Source organism: Homo sapiens, chromosome 2 (genome assembly GCF_000001405.40).
Source record: "Homo sapiens chromosome 2, GRCh38.p14 Primary Assembly".
In the NCBI taxonomy this organism is placed as follows: Eukaryota; Metazoa; Chordata; class Mammalia; order Primates; family Hominidae; genus Homo; species Homo sapiens.
Window position 1 is genome coordinate 52,713,611 of NC_000002.12, and position 12,976 is coordinate 52,726,586.

At 36.6% G+C, this 12,976-nt stretch overlaps 1 long non-coding RNA gene across 3 annotated transcripts in view; it reads right to left on the reverse strand.

The window, feature by feature from the left end:
* Window positions 1–9,065: 9,065 nt before the first annotated feature.
* LOC105369165 (uncharacterized) overlaps window positions 9,066–12,976 on the reverse strand; it is a 486,292-nt gene continuing 482,381 nt past the window's right edge. For 2 of the 3 annotated variants that reach the window (NR_187747.1, NR_187748.1), the window contains one exon: window positions 9,066–9,253. This is a non-coding gene — a long non-coding RNA (uncharacterized LOC105369165). Of the gene's footprint in view, window positions 9,254–10,127; window positions 10,288–12,976 lie in introns of all 3 variants that reach the window. The other variant, NR_187749.1, reaches the window with a different exon arrangement.

Sequence of the window (12,976 nt, forward strand, 5' to 3'; positions counted from 1 at the left end):
ACATGACCTGGAGCAGTCACAAGGTCTCCGAGCTTCAGTGGTCTTAGCTGTAGCATGAGAAGATTGGGCTAAATAAACATTTTCAAAGTGTGTTCCAAAGAACACCAACCCAAAAAGGATTAATCATAAAAAAAAGCAGGTTCTTTGGTTTAGTTAGTTTGGGAAATGCTCCATATCAAGCAATTTTTGAGAAAGCTATTTTGGGAAAGCTACAGTGTCTCTTAGGGCAAAATCCTTTAAACTGTTTAACCTTGTATAAACCAGCATTTTTCTAGCCTGTTTGAACACTGTACTAACTGTCAACATTTTTCATAGCTGATGCTCCATGGAACATGCATGATAGACATAAGTCACCTCAAAAGTATCCAACCATGATTCCAAATCAGTTCCTGCTGTAAGAGATTTCTAATTTTGATTTGAACTAGTCTCCAGAGCAGAAGGATATGTCACTGAAGCAGGTATAGTCAATACTCTGACACTCATATAAAAGCTCAAAATCAACAAAAATTGGCTAAAGGCTCTAATGCAAAAGTAAGCATCAGTGCTGTGTTTACTTATTTGGGTTCTGTTTTCACTAAGATTTTGGCCTCAGACAAGTCTTTTTATCCATGTTGAGCAATAAATGTACTTTAAAGAATGCTTAGTCAAGTCAAATTGTCCCTGTTTGCAGATGACATGATTGTATATCTAGAAAACCCCATTGTCTCAGCCCAAAATCTCCTTAAGCTGATAAGCAACTTCAGCAGAGTCTCAGGATACAAAATCAATGTACAAAAATCGCAATCATTCTTATACACCAATAACAGACAAACAGAGAGTCAAATCATGAGTGAACTCCCATTCACAATTGCTTCAAAGAGAATAAAATACCTAGGAATCCAACTTACAAGGGATGTGAAGGACCTCTTCAAGGAGAACTACAAACCACTGCTCAAGGAAATAAAAGAGGATACAAAGAAATGGAAGACCATTCCATGCTCATGGGTAGGAAGAATCAATATCGTGAAAATGACAATACTGCCCAAGGTAATTTACAGATTCAATGCCATCCCCATCAAGCTACCAATGACTTTCTTCACAGAATTGGAAAAAACTACTTTAAAGTTCATATGGAACCAAAAAAGAGCCCGCATCGCCAAGTCAATCCTAAGCCAAAAGAACAAAGCTGGAGGCATCACACTACCTGACTTCAAACTATACTACAAGGCTACAGTAACCAAAACAGCGTGGTACTGGTACCAAAACAGAGATATAGATCAATGGAACAGAACAGAGCCCTCAGAAATAACGCCGCATATCTACAACTATCTGATCTTTGACAAACCTGAGAAAAACAAGCAATGGTGAAAGGATTCCCTGTTTAATAAATGGTGCTGGGAAAACTGGCTAGCCATACGTAGAAAGCTGAAACTGGATCCCTTCCTTACACCTTATACAAAAATCAATTCAAGATGGATTAAAGACTTAAATGTTAGACCTAAAACCATAAACACCCTAGAAGAAAACCTAGGCATTACCATTCAGGACACAGGCATGGGCAAAGTCTTCATGTCTAAAACACCAAAAGCAATGGCAACAAAAGCCAAAATTGACAAATGGGATCTAATTAAACTAAAGAGCTTCTGCACAGCAAAAGAAACTACCATCAGAGTGAACGGGCAACCTACAAAATGGGAGAAAATTTTCGCAACCTACTCATCTGACAAAGGGCTAATATCCAGAATCTACAATGAACTCAAACAAATTTACAAGAAAAAAACAAACAACCCCATCAAAAAGTGGGTGAAGGACATGAACAGACACTTCTCAAAAGAAGACATTTATGCAGCCAAAAAACACATGAAAAAATGCTCACCATCACTGGCCATCAGAGAAATGCAAATCAAAACCACTATGAGATACCATCTCACACCAGTTAGAATGGCGATCATTAAAAAGTCAGGAAACAACAGGTGCTGGAGAGGATGTGGAGAAATAGGAACACTTTTACACTGTTGGTGGGACTGGAAACTAGTTCAACCCTTGTGGAAGTCAGTGTGGCGATTCCTCAGGGATCTAGAACTAGAAATACCATTTGACCCGGCCATCCCATTACTGGGTATATACCCAAAGGACAATAAATCATGCTGCTATAAGGACACATGCACACGTATGTTTATTGCGGCACTATTCACAACAGCAAAGACTTGGAACCAACCGAAATGTCCAACAATGATAGACTGGATTAAGAAAATGTGGCACATATACACCATGGAATACTATGCAGCCATAAAAAATGATGAGTTCATGTCCTTTGTAGGGACATGGATGAAATTGGAAATCATCATTCTCAGTAAACTATCGCAAGAACAAAAAACCAAACACTGCATATTCTCACTCATAGGTGGGAATTGAACAATGAGAACACATGGACACAGGAAGGGGAACATCACACTCTGGGGACTGTTGTGGGGTGGGGGGAGGGGGGAGGGATAGCATTAGGAGATATACCTAATGCTAGATGATGAGTTAGTGGGTGCAGCACACCAGCATGGCACATGTATACATATGTAACTAACCTGCACATTGTGCACATGTATCCTAAAACTTAAAGTATAATAATAATAAAAAATAAATAAAGAAAGAAAGAAAGAAAGAAAGAAAATTGGGATTCCAAACAGGAATTGGGAATTATTGCTAAGAGCCTCATATAAATGGAATCTGCAGAACACTAATCAGGCATTTTTAAATAGATGAACTGACCCTCCACAAGTTCTATAATTAATTATGAGCTTGATCCTCTAAGCTCCATCATATTTAGAAACCTTGGACCCAAATGTCTGCCTGATAGTGTGGTACTTTCTATAGCCTAATTCATTGCCAGCAGGGTCATGGGAAGGTCACCAAAACTGGCAGAGAACTAAAAGGATGAGTTTATTTTCTGACTGATGAATTTGAGTCAATGTTAAATGATGGACAGAGCATAGAATTTAAAGACAGAATACTTGACCTTGAGTTACAATATTACACTTCAAAATGTACGTGATCTTGGAAAAAAAGTAAGTGTATGAGCCTTGGTTTCCAGATCTGTAAAATGAAAATAACTTTAAAAAATTTGTCCTTATTATCTCAAAGTTATTTTTAATGTTTAAATCAAGTAGCATATTTTACAACCATGTTATAAAGTACTATGCAAATATATACTATTTTTCAACTTAAAAGCCTTAATATCATATGCTTCATATAACTTGGCTTTCCTTAAAGGAAGGGAAAGAAAACTGATCTGATTTAAATAAGAACTTCACGTATCTGAAATTCATTAATTTTCTATTTTGAGGTCTCGATATTTGGATTATTTTATTATTTTTCTTGACAGATGTCATGACCAATATCCATCTTCACACAGGTACCCTAGGATGTTGTGCCAGGACACAAAGGTCAGGATGGGTTACGGCTTTTGAGATTGAGTTTTCCCCTGGAACCTGAAAAGCAACATTCCAAATGGGTGAAAGAGAGATGGATCCTTCTTGGGTTCATATTGAGGCTGCACGAGCCTTTTGAGGAGAAATAGTGATTTTTTTGAGGAGAATAGTGACTGAAAAATGAAGATGTGCACACTCCCTGTTAAGCAATTAAGTTTGGTAACAGGTAAAAATCATTACTTCTCTGTCTACGCTTATTTTATTTGGTGGTAAAACGCCAAAGACGTCACGTTACTCTACTGCCTTCGAGTAACTTCTGCTTGCCTTAAGTCCACTAGACCAAGTATGTGCTTAGTGAGATAACAAATGATGGTCACCAAAAATTGTTTTGAAGTGATATGCAAATACGTACTATTTTTCAACTTAAAAGTAAGCATAAAAAAGGCTAAAATCTTGAATATTCTTTCTTTGTAGGTCTGGAACTGGGTGTGGACTTTTTTTTTCAAAAAAGATCTCCAGATTATCCTAATGCACATGAGAGTTTAAGAATCACTATGTTTTTCAATAGCTTTCAGTTTGTTTTGTTTCAGTTTTCAGCCAAGTCTACTTCTCCCTATGATTCAGATGCTTTGCCACAAACGATTCTTTTTGTTATTACCCAGAAGGGCAAATTTTCTCCCCTTTTAAACTGGATTAAATAAGAGAGAGGATAGTAAAGGGATACAGGTGTTATAACAATGGGGTAGAGAATGATAAGGGAGCTATTGATAAAAGAGATTTCAACATATTTTTAGACAATAAAGATAAAAATGGGGAAATGTAACCGTTGAAGGAGGTGGAGGAAGATGCAGCCTAGACAATATCCCAAAGAGGAGTGACTGAGAGAGACAATCAGATTGCTAAAACCATGGAGATCACCAACATTCATTAGTGTAAGAAGGTACTCTGGAAAACTGGAGTAAGAACAGTGCTTCACTAAAACGAGAGCTCACTATTGAAACTGAAAATAGGATTTGCTGTTAATTTAACCACAGTTAAATTGCTTAACACTTCAGACATAGTTTTTCACAGCTGTCTTATCATAAGCAAATAGAAAAAAAAAGTTTAAAGAAATATGAACTGGTGTAAAAAGAAAAGAAAGACCTTCGTAATCTAGCATTGTAGAGACACACAACATGATGAATGGTTTCTTGCTTACACATGCTGTGGCAACCCCATCAGTGTCCAAGAACTGCAAATGGTACATACATTTCTCAATCAGCTTCTTTTTTACTGCTTCCTTTTAAAATATAATCAGATAAGCAACTATCCCCTGATATTTGATGAAAACCTACACTTTAAAACATATTTAACATCAACAAAAAAGAAAGAATGACTCCTCCCTAAACAGACACATTAAGGAACACCGAGAGCTTAGGAAAAAAAAAAATCCAGTTGAGACTGGCATGATCCAAGAAGATATTTTATCCATAAATTAAAATGATTCTGCCACATGAAATAAACTGAAGGAAACCAAAGGGTTTCTGAAAAAATAAAAATAATCACCAGAATAACAAATTAATCAGAACAAAGAATTAAATCAAGTTAATTACCTTAAAAGTTTGGGAAGGGGGATTTTTTAAAAGGAATACATAGCATTCTAAGAGTTATAACTTCTAACAGGAATTCCAGAAAAGGAGAACAAAGGAATGGAGAGAATTATACTATGAAATAACAAAAGAAAAAACATTCTTCTCCAGATTGAATGATGGAACCAAGTACCAAACATAATTAATAAATATACCTACATGCATAACTCTAAAATTTCAGGACATCTAAGGACAGGGGAATCTTTTAACCTTAGAGGTAGAGAAGGCTGTGGGCGGGAGGACATTTCCTAAAGAAGAATAAAAATGGGAGCAGTAATACTGCGTACTAGAAGACAGTGGAATAATTTCTTCAAAGGACAAAGAGAAAAATATTCTCAACCTATAACTTTATACCCAATTGAATCATTACTCAGATGCAGTGTTATGAGATTTAGGAGTCAGTGGATTCAGTGTCTTTAAGAAGGCAGGGAAAGGAAGCTCCAGGAAGAGCGTTGTGCCGAAGGTGTAGAGAGAAAGCATCCCAGACTGCAGAAGGAGAACTCATAGTTCTGGGTAGAGGTCTCCTGAATAAAGAAAGAGCAGTAACATACCTGATCAAATGTTTGAGTGAAGAGACTAAGGATACAACATAAGAAAAAATAAAAGCCTATGGAAAATTTAAGAAAAACAAAAACTTGTACAAAAAGAAAGGAAAGAAAAAAGCATGATACACAACTTATTTCTGAAGTGAATCAGACAATTACATACATAATAATAATACTGTATTCTACTCTTGGTTTACTGATTTAACTAAATAGGGATATAATTTTATTGGAACGTAGGGTAGGAAATATAAGATGTGGTGTAAAAAGGTGAAAGTAATCTGTTTATCATGGAAGAAAGCCAAAAGATCTTGTCAAAAATTTTAACCTAAATATTCTTAAAGACACAGTATTTAGGGGTAAGAAAGGACTATCTAGTAAATTTCTATAGGAGTCCAAATGAATGCATTTAGAGATGAAGGCTAGTGAATGGCTGAAGCTGAGACAGGAGGAGCTTACTTTCCATAAAAAACAATTAGTAGTCATTGATTTGTTTTAATCATGTGCATTTTAGTCACAATTTGAAAGCTACATTATGAAAATATTAATTGCATATGACAACTCTGAAAGAGTGGAGGTGTAAAAAGGCTTCCAGAAGCTACTGCAGTGTACTGGGTAGGAATGGCTTGTGACATGAATCTATGACAGATTTTAAACATCATTCAGATGATATATCGAAAAAAATTTAGATATATTTACTCAAGTTATACACTGCAAAGCTTCTTTACCAATGAAATTTGCCTTATTCTTTCATTCTATACTTATTTGGAAACAATTCTAGATATACAAAAACAAAAAAACATTAATAGTAAAAAGAGTTCCCATTATATACTTCATCCAGCTTCTTTTAATGTTAACGTCTTAGACAACCATAATGCAATTAAAGTATACAAAATTAACATTGATTCAATAAATATAATCTACAAACTGTGATCTGAGAGACTAAAATAGACTTCCCTTTGTCAATCAGTGGAGACCCTTCCATTAAGACAACAAAAGTTACCTACAGGCCAAGGGTTTGGGGCTTGGCTAGCATGGCAAATCTCTAAAATCCTATGGCTACAGGAAAAACCACATCCTTGCTACACTCCCTAACAATAGGTTATCAGGTAAATTGTGAAACCCTTCCTAACTCTGATTTATAACCCAGGTCACTACAACTCTAACTGGACAAAGGACAGGACTTACAAAACACTCTTTCTCTCTATTTTTTTTTTTTTTAGATGCAATCTTGCTCTGTTGCCCAGTCTGGGGTGCAGTAGTGTGATCTTGGCTCACTGCAACCTCCACCTCCGAAATTCAAGCAATTCTTCTGCCTCAGCCTCCCATACAGCTGAGATTACAGATGTCACCACCAAGTCCGGCTAATTTTTTTTTTTGAGATGGAGTCTCGCTCTGGAGTGCAGTGGTACAATCTCAGCTCACTACAACCTCCACCACCCAGGTTCAAGTGATTTACCTGCCTCAGCCTCCTGAGTAGCTGGGATTATAGGCGTGTGCCACCATGCCAGGCTAATTTTTGTATTTTTAGTAGAGACACGGTTTCGCCATGCTGGCCAGGCTGGTTTCGAACTCTTGACCTCATGATCTGCCCGACTCAGCCTCCCAAAGTGCTGGGATTACAGGCATGAGCCACCACATCCAGCCTAATTTTTGTATTTTTAGTAGAGACAGGGTTTCACCATGTTGGCCTGGATGGTCCCGAACTCCGGACCTGAAGTGATCTGCCCATCTTGGCCTCCCAAAGTGCTTTACAGGAGTGAGTGACTGCGCTCAGCCACAAACATTCTTTTTTTGATAAGTAACTGTAATCTTCAAGCCAGTTTCAGTCAGCTTATAGGGACTGTGCACAAACTGTCTTTGTGTCTTATAGTTCACCTTTTGATGTAAAGAGCCAAACCTGATTTCATTTTAATGCTAAAACCCCACCTCAAACTAAACATGGGATTTACATTACATATATGTTTACCTATTGCCCATGCGCTTGTTTCCTCTCATAAGTACGTATAGCTTTTCCCCCAAAACTGCTGAATATATATGACCGTAATGTGTTATACAGGGCATGTGAGGCGTAAAACTCAACCTACGCTTTCTCTTCGTGAAGAGAGAGCCCATTTGATCCACGCTAGAGACTGTATCTTCTTAGTTTGCAAACTGATATAATCAATAAAACTCTCTTTTCTACTATTAAGACATCCTGTTGGTCTTTGCAATGATAAAACCTTATTTGAATTTAACCAATTTTCTCACTAATATGCTTTTTTCTAGTTCAGGATCCGTCCAGGGTTGCAATTTCATTGGACTGTCATGGTTCCTTGCTCTTCCTTATTCTTCTTTTGTCAGTCTTCCTTTGCATTTCATGAAGTTGATGCTTTTTTTAAGAGCCAGGGATTCTATAGAATGGCCCTGAATTTGGGTTTGTCTGATGTTTTCTCATGACTAGACTGAGGTTATGCATTTTGGGCAAGACTTTCACCAAAGTTATATTGTTTCCTTCTCAGTATATCATATTGGGAGGAATATGGTTCAAGTGTCTCCAAACTGATGATTTTACTTGGTTGAAGTGGTGTGTGCTGAGTTTTTCCAAAATGAAGTTATGACTATTCCCTGTGTAATTAACAAGCATTTTGTAGGAGGAAGTCCTCAGCCTTTCTTAAGTCTATCATTTTATCTGTCATTAAAAGTGCAGTGCATAAAAATTACAGTTATTTAACTGTCTCTATTATTTGAAGCCTTTTGCAATGCTTCCTCAAAAGTTTTTCATTTATTCATTCCATAAGTATCTTTTTAATTATTTAAGACACTCTGCATAAAATCTCACCCTCAGGCTGGTGGTCATTTATGCTGTTGACTGTAGTTGTGCCCAGGCTGATAGAAATTTGACCCCATCCTGTATAATATCTGCAGATAGGAACAGTTGTTCCAAACAGATCTTTTGGCCTGGCCTGTGGTAATGATATGGGGATATAGATGATTTTCTCACCTTTTCAGTGGTGATGGCTATGGGGCTGAGGTGGGCATTTGGCTACCCTCTGTGTGAGTTCCACATTATGAGATTCATGCACGATGAAGCAGATCAGAGATATGCAAATTTTCCTTAGACAGAATATTCTCAGATGAGCTTTTCTTGGCTGTAAATTGATTAAATGCATTAACCCACTTAAGGAAAGAATGTGTCAGTCAGAAAGGGACCAACTAGTCTATGGAAGCACAGAGAAGAGCCACTTTACGAAACTTAGCAGCATATACTCAAATAGGATCTAAAGGAGAGAGTTTTAGTCTCCTTTATGAAGGTTTCATTTAGGCTTGTTGCAGTCAAAACTCTAAGGACTAAAATTAACTCCTCTTGTTCGGAGCCCAGCAGAAAAACTGTGTATTTTGGATACCAACAAAACAAATTGCAAAAAGAAAAAAAAATCGTTTTAAAAGAATATGATATTTGATATTTCAATGAAGTTTTAAAAGTATTCATCATAAAAAAAATAAAGCTTTTGTTGGACTTCTTTCACATCTTTGTAGATTTTATTGTTTATATTTTGAATAATATAAGGGAAGTTGGGAGGCACACTAAAATGCTTGTGGCCTCTAAAGGTCTTCATCTTGCCCTGTTTTGATCACATGCTCACCAAGCAATCTTTGTGTTGTAATTTAACTTCTCGTACAGGAGGCGTTATATGGTTTCCTGGAATGGAAAGTTGACATTAGTATTCCAGTCCGTGTAACAGCTATTTTTCCCATCATAAATCAATAAATAGGCATTCTGGTTTTATGTATTGGTCTGTGAGCTTGTGTAATTTGAGTCAGCCACTGAGGTATGGGATACTCTAACTGAATGGCAATGTCAGGTATCCAGGTCTGTCCATCTAAAACTAAGAGTCTGGTCAATGAAACAAAGGAAGCCCTTGCAGAAGCGTCATTTACTTCCTCTTGGAGAAAACATTTGACTTAATTTCTATTTATCAATATCCACCTACATTTGAGGATTAATTCTTCAAAATAGAAGCTTTTTCTCAAGAAAGTGCTATATGTTCATGTTTGAGAAGATAGAATAAATATTAGCACCTAGCAAGAAAAAACAATGTGGATTCCAGGTCTTTACCTGCAGGGTTGGAAACCTCTTAACTAACCTCTTAGGAGCAAGCTAAATTAGGAAAGTAAACAAAAACAAACACTGAAGTTGTGGAAGTTAAGGTCCAAAAAGAATAATTCTTCCAATACCACTATGTAGTGTTTTGTTGTTGTTGTTGTTGTTAATCTCTCATTTCAAGGAGTTTAATATTAGAGAACAAGGTAGCTACACATGCAAAACTCATATCACAGAGATATTTTCATATCTGTAATGAAATACAGGCTGGGAGGAGCTAGTTTCATGTAAAATAAATCCCTTGAGAAGAGCATAGACATACAGTAGAGTCAAGGTTTTTGAAGAAGGAGAGTTCGGTTAGGAAAAACGACATGACAGATTCAGAAATACTCCTCAACAGTTTGGAAACAGGGTTGAGATGTAGAAATGATCAAATGAAATTCAATACGTGTGAAAGCAAGAGATTGCAAACCTGACAGCAATCTACAGGTGGATAATGGATGGTCTTGAAGTCATGTTTGTGATCTTGGCATTTCACAGCAGAAGCAAATGGGAGCCCTATAATTTTCTAGGTAGTGGATGCTTGATGTATCATAAATACTCTCTTCTTTTCCCACAGAAGACAATGGTTTCTGTTAAGTGTCAAAACAGAGAGAAGGAGGTTCTGAAGGCAGAAAGGCAGACTAAAGTGTGGTGGTTTTTTAAAAAAAAAAAAAATGTACAATAAACATTAGCGTTTTTTTTTTTTTCTGAGTGAGTGCCCAAAAGTTTTTTTTTTTTAATTTTTTCTTAAAGGGAAATGTATTCCAGAAAGCAATGCTAATCAATCTGCAAACTTATATTGAGAACCTATTATCTGGGCAATTAGTCAAGATGTAGAGGGGAAAGTAGGAATTGATAAAATGGAAGTCAGCCTTTAATTTGTTTACTATCTAGTTGGGGAGTAAAGATTTATACACATAAAAGGTTAACTAGAAATATAAGGCAGAATGTTAAAAATCCTCAGCAAGTGATTTCATCTCTCTGGGCCTTATTTTCTTGATCTAGAAACATAAAGCCTGTTTAAAAGTTCTAGGATGCTGAAGTGCCAAAGGAAATCCTCACACAATTAGGAGTTCAGAGAAGGGAGGAAAGTGTAAGATGGGATAACCAGGGGACACTTTTGGGGTATGAGTCCTGAAGACTAGGTAGACTGAATTTGCAGGAAAATCTGAAGGACAGAATAGTGTTTGAGAGGATGCATGAAAATAATCTTTCTCTTTCTAAAATACAAAACATAATAGCTTTTTAACATACTACACCTACCTTGACTGTAGTTGCCTCTTAAACATCCATTTAAAAATGAACATATGTCCACTATCTATTGTTCAAAACCAGACAGGTCTTTGGAGTCCCCTATGTGATTTCTCTAACCTTCTGCCCACTAATCCCCTTGACTTCCTCTGCTCCTGCCATTCCTAACTGCTCATTCTGCCTTGAACTCCAGATGTTCCTCCTGCCTTAAGCTCTTGCTTTGTGCTTCAAATGTCTTCCCAGGTCACCTTGCTTGCCTGGCAAATGCCTTCCTAATCATCCTTCAGCCAACCAGCAGGAGACACCTCTTTCTTTATGAAGTCTTTTCTACCTTTTTAGTCCCCTCTTGGAGAGTTGATTGCTTCTTCCTTTTGTTATGACTGTTGGTGCACCTACATACTTTTGTTGTAACCTCATCTCATGCCTCAACTCAATGGCTTACTTTAGTCTACCTTTACGTGTTCAGAACCTCCTTCTCTCTGCTTCAACACTTAGCAGAAATTACTGCCTTTTTAGGGGGAAGAGAAGAGAGTATTTATGGTACATCAAGCATCTATTACCTAAAAAATTACAGGGCTCCCACTTGCTTCTGCTATGAGAATAGTTCCCCTATTTTTCTGTGAGTTATCTTATGTTAGGAGTTATATGTTTAATTTGTCATTTTCCTCTCAGTGCATGGCAGTGTGCCTAGTTTATAATAGATGCTCACTGAGATAAGTACATGTGAACAAGTTAACTAAGTCCTTTGGGTGACTGTTACTTAACCCTGTCTTTTTTACCTTCAAAATTTAGACCCCATGAGTCATGTAAAGAGTAAATTAGAAATAAGTTGTTGCTATTCTTCTTTGGCCATATTTAAGTGTCTTGATACTAGGAGTATTTGCCTTCAAAACCATGTTTCAACAATAGAGTGCTAAGTAGGCATAAATGAAAGTAAAACGAGAGCTCTGCGAAACCATGGCTTTTTTACAAGAAACAAATTTTATGAATCATTGCCATTTTGAATTTTTACCCCAGTATTTTGTCCTAAGGGCTCTTGTTCACTAATGACTTGGAAAAAAAAAAACTGCAAAGAGAAAGTTATCAGATCTATCAATTATGCTTACCACTAACGCTATTGTCATTTTTCTCCTCACAAACGTTAAATAAAGGCCAAGTCAGATTATAATGCAGCTAACATTTTTTCTTTCAGGATAAGCAAAATAGATGCCAACTAGAGCAGAAAGTATTGCTTTTTCCCATTCTTTAATGGTTTGATGACTGCCTGGGAGGGCCTAACTAGCTTTCTGGAATCAGACAACTTTCTCACTGCCCAGGACACGTCAGGCTTGATGCCATCCCTGCCATTTGAGGATAATGAAGCATCATCCACTGTCAGAAATAAGAACTTACTTAATGAATAAGAAAGCTGGCAATCATAAACAAGAAAAGTGCCTCAGCAGCATTTCACATCATTAAAACATCTCCAACTTGATTCCTTTTTGTCCTTTTGTTACATTCTTGCTATTTCTCTAAATATCTTAACAGATGCTTCTTATTTCAGTAAAATTTGTATCTTTTGCCCACCTCCAACATGTTCTCTCTTATTCTTTTTTAATACTCCAACCATTATAAAGTTTACAATTACATGCCTACCCAGAGTAGAGTGTTATAAATATTGGATCAATGGCCATTTTAATCTTTCCTCTCTGGCTCTTTGAAATAATCTTAAAACTACTTTGAAAACAGTATTTTAAGATTGTTTTACATAGAAATTCTATCATCCCTCAAGAAGCAGTATGGCTCCAATATTCAGATTTCACTGTGAGGCTCTTACCTATCTAATTCATATCTATTTTCAGATTTTGTTAAAAGAAATTTTACAGAGGCTACTCACTCATATTTGGAAGAAAAACATAATCTAAGAAACAAAAGAAATGTGTGTGGAGGGGAGAAATAGGTATATAACAACTTAAAGGGTTTGAATTGCTAATTTTTAGTACTATTTTATGTAATACTTTTTGCAAGATCTAAATAGATGCATTGCAA